The sequence below is a fragment of the Homo sapiens genome, chromosome 2 (genome assembly GCF_000001405.40).
Source record: "Homo sapiens chromosome 2, GRCh38.p14 Primary Assembly".
Taxonomy (NCBI): domain Eukaryota; kingdom Metazoa; phylum Chordata; class Mammalia; order Primates; family Hominidae; genus Homo; species Homo sapiens.
In genome coordinates this window covers 129412674-129425303 of record NC_000002.12, presented here as the reverse complement: position 1 = coordinate 129425303, position 12630 = coordinate 129412674, and positions in this window count along the sequence as shown.

Below are 12630 nucleotides of genomic sequence, written 5' to 3'. Positions count from 1 at the left end.
ATCACATGTCTTCTTCCTGGGAAGCTGAAAAAATAATTTTTTGAATTTGTATTGGAAAAGTGTAGCTAGCCCTGGAGGCAAATACAGGAATGTTCACAAGGGTGCTCCTAAGATTCAGGGTGGTTGAAATGACAGATAATCATGACAAAAGATATCATGCATTCCAGTAAGTTGATAAATTAGAACTAAACTGCCGTAGTAATACAAGAGAATCTGGTAAGTCAATGGAATTTGGGGAACAAAAGACTCTGGAGTTCCTATATTAGGAATGAGTCCATGTAAAGTAGCCATTTTTGATGTTTACTTAGGATAAAGTGTGCTAATATTTTTAATGTGTGAATGGCGATCATTAAAAAGTCAGGAAACAACAGGTGCTGGAGAGGATGTGGAGAAATAGGAACACTTTTACAATTGGTGGGACTGTAAACTGGTTCAACCATTGTGGAAGACAGTGTGGTGATTCCTCAAGGATCTAGAAGTAGAAATACCATTTGACCCAGCCATCCCATTACTGGGTATATACCCAAAGGATTATAAATCATGCTGCTATAAAGACACATGCACACATGTTTATTGCGGCACTATTCACAATAGCAGAGACTTGGAACCAACACAAATGTCCTTCAGAGATTGACTGGATTAAGAAAATGTGGCACATATACACCATGGAATACTATGCAGCCATAAAAAAGGATGAGTTCATGTCCTTTGTAGGGACATGGATGAAGCTGGAAACCATCATTCTCAGCAAACTATCACAGGGACAAAAAACCAAACACCGCATGTTCTCACTCATAGGTGGGAATTGAACAATGAGAACACTTGGACACAGGGTGGGAAACATCACACACTGGGGCCTGTCGTGGGGTGGGGGGAGGGGGGAGGGATAGCATTAGTAGATATACCTAATGCAAATGACAAGTTAATGGGTGCAGCACACCAACATGGCACATGTATACATATGTAACAAACCTGCACGTTGTGTACATGTACCCTAGCACTTAAAGTATAATTTAAAAATAATAATAAAAATAAACTTTGGAGAGTAAAAAAAAAAAAAAACCAAATGTCTTAAATTTCTTTAACTCAAGTGCTGTTGATTGTTTATTGCATTGCTGATAAAATTTAAACAGCTTTTCATGAACAAAAAATACATGTCAAGTAAGAAGAAAGGACATGTTAACCACCAAGGTTTTCATCAACAGCTATAAGCCTTGTTGATAGTATGTTCCCTTGATAGGACCTGATGAAGATGTCACTTTACCTCTGTGGTCTTTCTCCCTAAAACCCACAACCACAATATAGTCATGAGAAACACACCGGACAAAATCAAATTGAGGAACATTCTAACCAGTACCCCTGCTACTTGTCAAGGCCACAAAAAGACAAGAAAAGTCAGCAACTCTCACTTATCAGGAGCGCCTATGGAGACTTGATATCTAAAGGGAATGTTGTGCCCCTGAAGAGATCTTAGCCAGATAGGGGGCATCAGGTTACAAGTAAGAGGATCTGAGTAAAGGGTGGGCTGTAGTTAATAATAATGTACCAATATTGGGCCATTAGCTTTAAGAAATGTCTCACACTAAGGTAGGATGTTAATAAAATGGGACACTAAACATGGAATATATATGTATACACACACACATATATATACATATATACACACACATATATATACATATATACACATATATATACACACACCTAGATATATATCTAGATGTGTATATATATACCTATATATAGAGAGAGAGAGAGAAAGAGAAACAGAGAAAGAACTCTCTGTACTACACCTTTACCATTTTTTTCTGGAAATTTAAAATTATTCTGAAATAAACACTTTATTAGCAATAAGCACTCAACTATTAATGAAAGTACATACACATAACAAACAGAACATAATGAATTGCAGGTGCTATGAAGCAAAGTAAGGCTAGAGCGAGTGAGAAGGCAGGCATGCTCTTTTAGACGAGGTGGTCGGGGAGACCTCTGCTCTGGTGACATGTGAGTAGAGAGGGGATGGAGTGGAAGCAAGCCCTATGTCTGCTGAAGGAAAAGCACTCAGAGAGAGGAAACAGCAAGTGCAAAGATGCTGAGACAGAAATGTGCTTGGCAAGCTTGAAGAATAGCAAGACCAGCGTGGCTGGTAACTGGCGAGAGGTAAGTGGGAAAGGGATAAACGTGGGTTGTAAGTCTCAATGAGGCTTTGACGCCTCATCCTAAGTGCAGTGAGGACCATTAATGTGATAGGCTTAAATTTTAAAAGACTTGTTTTGGCTTATTTGACAGAACAGGCTATACTTGGGCAAGAGTGGGTTCACAGATACTAAGGAGAAGGCTATTTTATTTGTCAGGTTGAGAAAGCTGAGGGTGGTGTAGACCAGGGTGGTCATGGAGAAGCAGTCAGATTTCTGATATAGTGTAAGGCTGGAGTTTTAGCTTCAACTGACTTACAGAGAAAAAGCAAAAGGTAGGCAGTAAAATTCTCCACTAGTGGCCTCAGTGAGGAACAGTGAAAGGAGGGAGGTAGCAAGTACAGGAAATGAGACAGGAGCGAGCATGGATAGAACTTACTTCCAAGGGCCTAGGAAGTCTCAGAAAGGATGGAGACATAGTGCTCTGAAGAAAACAACAATTGTGGAACAAGGTTACCAACTGCACCTTTATGCTGTGTGGACGTTATATGAGCTGTAGGAGAGAACAATTCCAGCACTTCCTAGGGCAATAGAGAAATACATGTGTTCAGAGAAAAGCTAAGTTTTGTTTAGAACAAGTGAGTGAAGGGAATTTTCAAAGAAGAGATTTACCATATAGATTATTTTGCCGATGAGGGTTTGCAATCCGCGGAGCAGAGTGGAAGGACTTGGGTGATGAAGGCTTGTTGAGAGATTGAGTAGGATTAAGTAAAAGAGAAAACTCAGTGAGAGTCTTCATGAGGAGTGCCTTGGGCTTCTTGTTACAACAACCTAAAGAGGGGTATACAGCATGATGTAATTATTCCTAATGGTCTGCTAGGAGCAAGAGAAAAATCATTTCCAATTATCTCTCTTTTCTGGGACTGGTCTCTTAGGCTCTTTATAGTGGTGAGGCATAAGTGAATTATATGTCCTTCAGAATTAAATAGCATTCCTTGCAAGTTGCCTGGAAATTTTGACAGATGAATGTCCATTCCTCGAGTCCTAGACAGTCATTTATAATAATGAAAAAAGTGGTCACACCAATCTGCTAGCTATGAAATTTCAGCTGCCTATTCCATGAGATCTGGCAATGGCCACTGACTATAATGATAATGTAATTCTCATCTTTGTTACTTTCTACATGTCTCTTTTTCCTTAATCTGATTTAAAAATGCCCTTGGTTTGCAGAAGTTTGCCTGACTTTTCCTTGTTCTTCGCGGAAGACAGAAGTCTTTCATGTGTACTCTTACATCAGAAAGAATGGATCCTTGGTTAGGTCCTAGGGACAGGGGAATTTTCTGTTCCTCCCCCCGTAATTTAAGGTTTTTATTTTGCAAGAGGAAAGGTAAAGGGAGCAGTCAGTGCTCCCTGCCCATCTCAGAGCAGCAGCCAGTGCCTTCCTGCCAGTCCACTAAGTGGGGCTCACTATGTCTGCTTCCCCGATCTCTGTACTTCTGGAGGTTCAATGAAAGAAGCTTGCCAGTGATTGAAAGCTTGCTTGCTGACTGAGATCTTGATCATTTCAAATGATCTGTTCATGCATAGTTGATCTTCAAAAGATGTGTAAAGTTTGGGGGATGACCTTTTCTTATCCATTTTTGTGGTTGCCTACTTTTCCTCCTTTGCCAAAAATGAAAGAATTCTGTCTATTCTTGGAGGGACTTTTTATTCTGTGGAATTTAGTTCACTTGGTTGTCTTCATCTTCAGCTCTTATATCAGTTTAAGAAAAGTTATGACTGTATAGATTATCCAGCTTTATCATGTTTTTAAGTGTGGGTGGTATTATCTTGCATTTTTATACTTTTTTTTTTTTTTTGAGACGGAGTCTTGCTCTGTTGCCAAGCTGGAGTGCAGTGGCATGATCTTGGCTCACTGCAACCTCCGCTTCCCAGGTTTAAGCGATTCTCCTGCCTCAGCCCCTCAAGTAGCTGGGACTACAGGCACACACCACCACGCCTGGCTAATTTTTGTATTTTTAGTAGACACAGGGTTTCACCATGTTGGCCAGGCTGGTCTCGATCTCTTGACCTCGTGATCCACCCGCCTCGGCCTCCCAAAGTGCTGGGATTATAGGCATGAGCCACAGCACCAGCAGAAGTAGGAACTTCTTAACTAAAATTTAGAGGATATCAAAAATACATTGAAAATACAAAGAGAAGGTGAAAACATAGGTCATACAATGTAGAGGTATAAAGCTATTAAAGTCCATTAGGAGAGGCAAATAAGAATGTAGAAGACACAATATTTGAAGACTATGGCTAATAATATTTTCAAAACAAAGAAAAGGTAACAAGCCAAAAATTCAAAGTGCATACACTCTAAACAGAATAAATAAAAAGAACACAAACCTACTAAAAAGGAAAAGCTTAAAAGCTGTTGGGGGGGTGCATGTTGTCTTCAAAAAAGCAACAGTTACACTGTCAGTTCACTTCTCAAAAATAAAAGAATTAAAAAGACAGTGGAATGACATCTTCAAAGTGCTTAAATAAAAGTTTTCCTATAATGCAAGTGTTTAACTAAAAAGTTCTCCTTGAAGACTGAGGAAAAATACCCTCAAAAACCAAAGATGAGGTTACCTTCCAGTTGAGGCAAGCTAAAGATAACAGCAGATTTTAAAACTATTTCCAAATTGACTTTTCAAACAAACATAATGATGTCAGTAAAAATAGTGGACTAAGACCTCCAAAACTTCACACTACATAAAAGAAATTTCTAAAATGGCAAAAGCTGTCCAAATTAATTTACGCAGAACTTCAGAAAATTGCCTGTGGCTTCCTGCGGAGTGTTTATAAATTAAGAAAAACAGCTAAATCTTGATAAGAACAGCAAGCAAGCTTTGTGGCATTTAACTTTCCCTGGTTGCATCTCTTGCTCTCCATCTCAGAGATACCATTGAAAAATAACAGCCCACATTACTATGAAAGCTTCACAACGCCTGAAGGAGCAGTATTGTGTTGTAACTTCTTCAAAATCACATCCCTAAATAATTCTCATTATGGCACCTGTCTGATGGTTTCCACAAAAACCTGACCTACAAAGGTAACTCAGAGCTCACCCAGTATAAACAGCCATCTCCTTGGTGCACACTTTTGTTAAAGCAAGTTACAGGTAAGTGTTTTAAGTTGGTGGTTGCCAGAGGTGATGAATGAGAGTTGAGGAAAGCAATAGGCTAACTAAAATTCTTAAAATGAAAAAGCTGAAAGATGGACCATCCACAGGGGCATAGAAAAGCTCTGACATGACAGACTTTTGAGACTCTATTAGGTCTCAGAAATGGCTAGGGCTGTGTTCAGGCTCAGGAAATACCTGAGAATGCCCCAGACTCATGATTCTAGCTGACTCGGAGACTCTGCATGGGCAGGAAGTGAAGGCTAAGGTGGAACTGTAAATTGCTTTGCTGAGTGTTTAGTATACACACAGAATCCCTAGGCAAATACTTGGAGATTTATTGGTTTCATGCATTTAAGGAGACCTCTGTCTAATCATTAGCTGACCACTAAGCTAATCGAGTAAAGGTTTCAGTGGCCACACTTTATAAAAAATACAGACTTTAAAGAATTAGTTCAGAAAAATCACCAAACAAACCAACCACTATGATTACAATAAGCAACATCACAGCAAACCCTGTGGAGAGGGGGAGATCTTATTTCTAGAATTGCTGCATGAAACTTTCCAGTATTCAACAGCAATAAAATATATGAGACATGCAAAGAAAAAGAGAGTATAAACCAGAGCTAAGGAAAAAAACAAGGAATAGAAATGGTCTCTGAGGAATCCCAGACACTGTTTTTCTTAGACAAAGACTTTAAATTAGCTATTTAAAATATGTTCAAAGTGCTAAGTAAAACCATGTCTAAAGAACTATAGGAAAGTATGAGAGTTATGTCTTACCAAATAGGGAATATCAATAAAGAGATAGACGTCATGCAATGTAGGTTCTGGAATTGAAAGTGTAATAGCAGGCCTTCTTTATGAGAAATACTACAAGGAGTCTTTCAGGCTCAGATAAAAGATACAAGAGAGTATCTTAAATTCACATTAAGAAATAAAGGTGCAGAGTAAAGATAACTACATAGATAAATATAAAAGACAGTATTAATACAGTTTTAGATCAGATGATTCGAAAGATAATGACACAAAGTAATAATAATTGGTTTCTGTTGATGGACCCACAATATATAAAATGTAATTTGTAACAATAACAGCATATAGAGAAGGAGCTATGTAGGAGCAAAGTTTTGTATACTACTGAAATTCATTTGTAACTAATCTAAATTAGATTTTTATAAATTAATAATTAATTATACAAATGGCCAATGAACACATGAAAAGATTATGAACTTCATTAGTCATTAGAGAAATGAAAATAAAAACCATAATGAGATTGCACTTCATTACTACTAGGATAGCTATATTTAGTTATAGTATAGCTATTATATAGTTACTCTATAACTCTTTTCTTTGGGCTTATAATCAAGAGAACTTAAAAAAATCTGTTCACATAAAAACTTGTACATGGTAGCATTATTTATTATAGCCAAAATGAAAATAGCTCAAATGTCCATCAATTGATGAATGACAAACAAAATATGATATATCCATACAATGGAATATTATTCAGTCATCGAACAATGGAGTGCTGATGCATGTGACAACACAGATTAACTTTGAAAATGTTATACTAACTTTAAAAAGCCAGCCACAGTGGCTGCATAATGTATAATTTCATTTACATGAAATTTCCATAGTAGGTAAGTTTATAGAGACAGAATATGGATGAGTGGTGCCAAACCATCTATAATGGCAGAACTCAGGCAGGTTTCATGGAGAATACACAACTGTGTGGAGATAAGATAATGGTGTCTTTTGATGCTGCCAAAAGACCCAGAAATCACTATCAAATGTCCCCATAGGAAGGAGAGGAGCCTACTTTGAGTAGATACTTCTCTAAGAGCAACCAGCATAAACTTTAATTTATAAGTGAGTTTTTTTTAAAGGCCGTCCTAACTCCCAGAAACTTCAAAAATGTGTTCTAAGAATTCAAAACTCCTTGGTAAGAAAAATAGATATAAAATGCAAATGTAGCCAGATACAAATTATAGAGTAAGTAAAAAAGAAGGTTCTGATTCAGGGTTAAAAAGTCCGTGGGACTCAGATCTCAGAGCTATGGAGGTGACCCCACAGAGAGGCAACTTTGATAATAGCAGCAGAGAGAATTCTTAAGTGTCAAGCTAGGAAAACCACACCTCTGATCTATGCTGGAACTTCCATCTAAAGGCACAGAACACCACCTCATTTTCCATAAGCCACCATGAGGTGAATGAACTCCATACAATGATACTAGCTGATATTAGGAGACAAATGATGAAAAAACATAAAAATTAATAGCTGAATTATATACTCACAGATATTAAAGGCATATAATAAAATTATGGCTTAGAATATATATATACACTATAGTTTAATATTAAAAATACAAAATTAAGGAAATATAAAGTCTATGAAAAATATCAAAGGTAAAAAATAGAAAATCTCAGAATTTAAATCATAAAAAAGTGGATAATATGAAAAAGAGAAGACAGTGCCTAAAATGTGAAAAAAAATCATTTCAGAAATGAATAAATTATATGGAAAAATAAATAGGTAACACAGAAAGTACAGTAAAGGAAAACAGAAATAAAAGACGGACAACAAAAAGTAAAGAAATTTAAAAATGAGAGAAATAGGGGAGGAGCCAAGATGGCCGAATAGGAACAGCTCCGGTCTACAGCTCCCAGCGTGAGCGACGCAGAAGACGGGTGATTTCTGCATTTCCATCTGAGGTACCGGGTTCATCTCACTAGGGAGTGCCAGACAGTGGGCGCAGGCCAGTGTGTGTGCGCACCGTGCGCGAGCCAAGCAGGGCGAGGCATTGCCTCACCTGGGAAGCGCAAGGGGTCAGGGAGTTCCCTTTCCGAGTCAAAGAAAGGGGTGACGGACGCACCTGGAAAATCGGGTCACTCCCACCCGAATATTGCGCTTTTCAGACCGGCTTAAGAAACGGCGCACCACGAGACTATATCCCACACCTGGCTCAGAGGGTCCTACGCCCACGGAATCTCGCTGATTGCTAGCACAGCAGTCTGAGATCAAACTGCAAGGCGGCAGCGAGGCTGGGGGAGGGGCGCCCGCCATTGCCCAGGCTTGCTTAGGTAAACAAAGCAGCCGGGAAGCTCGAACTGGGTGGAGCCCACCACAGCTCAAGGAGGCCTGCCTGCCTCTGTAGGCTCCACCTCTGGGGGCAGGGCACAGACAAACAAAAAGACAGCAGTAACCTCTGCAGACTTAAGTGTCCCTGTCTGACAGCTTTGAAGAGAGCAGTGGTTCTCCCAGCACGCAGCTGGAGATCTGAGAACGGGCAGACTGCCTCCTCAAGTGGGTCCCTGACCCCTGACCCCCGAGCAGCCTAACTGGGAGGCACCCCCCAGCAGGGGCACACTGACACCTCACACGGCAGGGTATTCCAACAGACCTGCAGCTGAGGGTCCTGTCTGTTAGAAGGAAAACTAACAACCAGAAAGGACATCTACACCGAAAACCCATCTGTACATCACCATCATCAAAGACCAAAAGTAGATAAAACCACAAAGATGGGGAAAAAACAGAACAGAAAAACTGGAAACTCTAAAACGCAGAGCGCCTCTCCTCCTCCAAAGGAACGCAGTTCCTCACCAGCAACAGAACAAAGCTGGATGGAGAATGATTTTGACGAGCTGAGAGAAGAAGGCTTCAGACGATCAAATTACTCTGAGCTATGGGAAGACATTCAAACCAAAGGCAAAGAAGTTGAAAACTTTGAAAAAAATTTAGAAGAATGTATTACTAGAATAACCAATACAGAGAAGTGCTTAAAGGAGCTGATGGAGCTGAAAACCAAGGCTCGAGAACTACGTGAAGAATGCAGAAGCCTCAGGAGCCGATGCGATCAACTGGAAGAAAGGGTATCAGCAATGGAAGATGAAATGAATGAAATGAAGCGAGAAGGGAAGTTTAGAGAAAAAAGAATAAAAAGAAATGAGCAAAGCCTCCAAGAAATATGGGACTATGTGAAAAGACCAAATCTACGTCTGATTGGTGTACCTGAAAGTGATGTGGAGAATGGAACCAAGTTGGAAAACACTCTGCAGGATATTATCCAGGAGAACTTCCCCAATCTAGCAAGGCAGGCCAACGTTCAGATTCAGGAAATACAGAGAACGCCACAAAGATACTCCTCGAGAAGAGCAACTCCAAGACACATAATTGTCAGATTCACCAAAGTTGAAATGAAGGAAAAAAATGTTAAGGGCAGCCAGAGAGAAAGGTCGGGTTACCCTCAAAGGAAAGCCCATCAGACTAACAGCGGATCTCTCGGCAGAAACCCTACAAGCCAGAAGAGAGTGGGGGCCGATATTCAACATTCTTTTTTTTTTTTTTTTTTTTTTTGAGACGGAGTCTCGCTCTGTCGCCCAGGCTGGAGTGCAGTGGCGGGATCTCGGCTCACTGCAAGCTCTGCCTCCCGGGTTCACGCCATTCTCCTGCCTCAGCCTCCCAAGTAGCTGGGACTACAGGCGCCCGCCACTACGCCCGGCTAATTTTTTTGTATTTTTAGTAGAGACGGGGTTTCACCGTTTTAGCCGGGATGGTCTCGATCTCCTGACCTCGTGATCCGCCCGCCTCGGCCTCCCAAAGTGCTGGGATTACAGGCGTGAGCCACCGCGCCCGGCCCTCAACATTCTTAAAGAAAAGAATTTTCAACCCAGAATTTCATATCCAGCCAAACTAAGCTTCATAAGTGAAGGAGAAATAAAATACTTTATAGACAAGCAAATGCTGAGAGATTTTGTCACCACCAGGCCTGCCCTAAAAGAGCTCCTGAAGGAAGCGCTAAACATGGAAAGGAACAACCGGTACCAGCCGCTGCAAAATCATGCCAAAATGTAAAGACCATCGAGACTAGGAAGAAACTGCATCAACTAATGAGCAAAATCACCAGCTAACATCATAATGACAGGATCAAATTCACACATAACAATATTAACTTTAAATATAAATGGACTAAATTCTGCAATTAAAAGACACAGACTGGCAAGTTGCATAAAGAGTCAAGACCCATCAGTGTGCTGTATTCAGGAAACCCATCTCACGTGCAGAGACACACATAGGCTCAAAATAAAAGGATGGAGGAAGATCTACCAAGCCAATGGAAAACAAAAAAAGGCAGGGGTGGCAATCCTAGTCTCTGATAAAACAGACTTTAAACCAACAAAGATCAAAAGAGACAAAGAAGGCCATTACATAATGGTAAAGGGATCAATTCAACAAGAGGAGCTAACTATCCTAAATATTTATGCACCCAATACAGGAACACCCAGATTCATAAAGCAAGTCCTCAGTGACCTACAAAGAGACTTAGACTCCCACACATTAATAATGGGAGACTTTAACACCCCACTGTCAACATTAGACAGATCAACGAGACAGAAAGTCAACAAGGATACCCAGGAATTGAACTCAGCTCTGCACCAAGCAGACCTAATAGACATCTACAGAACTCTCCACCCCAAATCAACAGAATATACATTTTTTTCAGCACCACACCACACCTATTCCAAAATTGACCACATACTTGGAAGTAAAGCTCTCCTCAGCAAATGTAAAAGAACAGAAATTATAACAAACTATCTCTCAGACCACAGTGCAATCAAACTAGAACTCAGGATTAAGAATCTCACTCAAAGCCGCTCAACTACATGGAAACTGAACAACCTGCTCCTGAATGACTACTGGGTACATAACGAAATGAAGGCAGAAATAAAGATGTTCTTTGAAACCAACGAGAACAAAGACACCACATACCAGAATCTCTGGGACGCATTCAAAGCAGTGTGTAGAGGGAAATTTATAGCACTAAATGCCTACAAGAGAAAGCAGGAAAGATCCAAAATTGACACCCTAACATCACAATTAAAAGAACTAGAAAAGCAAGAGCAAACACATTCAAAAGCTAGCAGAAGGCAAGAAATAACTAAAATCAGAGCCGAACTGAAGGAAATAGAGACACAAAAAAACCCTTCAAAAAATCAATGAATCCAGGAGCTGGTTTTTTGAAAGGATCAACAAAATAGATAGACCGCTAGCAAGACTAATAAAGAAAAAAAGAGAGAAGAATCAAATAGACACAATAAAAAATGATAAAGGGGATATCACCACCGATCCCACAGAAATACAAACTACCATCAGAGAATACTACAAACACCTCTACGCAAATAAACTAGAAAATCTAGAAGAAATGGATACATTCCTCGACACATACACTCTCCCAAGACTAAACCAGGAAGAAGTTGAATCTCTGAATAGACCAATAACAGGCTCTGAAATTGTGGCAATAATCAATAGTTTACCAACCAAAAAGAGTCCAGGACCAGATGGATTCACAGCCGAATTCTACCAGAGGTACAAGGAGGAACTGGTACCATTCCTTCTGAAACTATTCCAATCAATAGAAAAAGAGGGAATCCTCCCTAACTCATTTTATGAGGCCAGCATCATTCTGATACCAAAGCCGGGCAGAGACACAACCAAAAAAGATAATTTTAGACCAATATCCTTGATGAACATTGATGCAAAAATCCTCAATAAAATACTGGCAAACCGAATCCAGCAGCACATCAAAAAGCTTATCCACCATGATCAAGTGGGCTTCATCCCTGGGATGCAAGGCTGGTTCAATATACGCAAATCAATAAATGTAATCCAGCATATAAACAGAGCCAAAGACAAAAACCACATGATTATCTCAATAGATGCAGAAAAAGCCTTTGACAAAATTCAACAACCCTTCATGCTAAAAACTCTCAATAAATTAGGTATTGATGGGACGTATTTCAAAATAATAAGAGCTATCTATGACAAACCCACAGCCAATATCATACTGAATGGGCAAAAACTGGAAGCATTCCCTTTGAAAACTGGCACAAGACAGGGATGCCCTCTCTCACCGCTCCTATTCAACATAGTGTTGGAAGTTCTGGCCAGGGCAATCAGGCAGGAGAAGGAAATAAAGGGTATTCAATTAGGAAAAGAGGAAGTCAAATTGTCCCTGTTTGCAGACGACATGATTGTTTATCTAGAAAACCCCATCGTCTCAGCCCAAAATCTCCTTAAGCTGATAAGCAACTTCAGCAAAGTCTCAGGATACAAAATCAATGTACAAAAATCACAAGCATTCTCATACACCAACAACAGACAAACAGAGAGCCAAATCATGGGTGAACTCCCATTCACAATTGCTTCAAAGAGAATAAAATACCTAGGAATCCAACTTACAAGGGATGTGAAGGACCTCTTCAAGGAGAACTACAAACCACTGCTCAAGGAAATAAAAGAGGACACAAACAAATGGAAGAACATTCCATGCTCATGGGTAGGAAG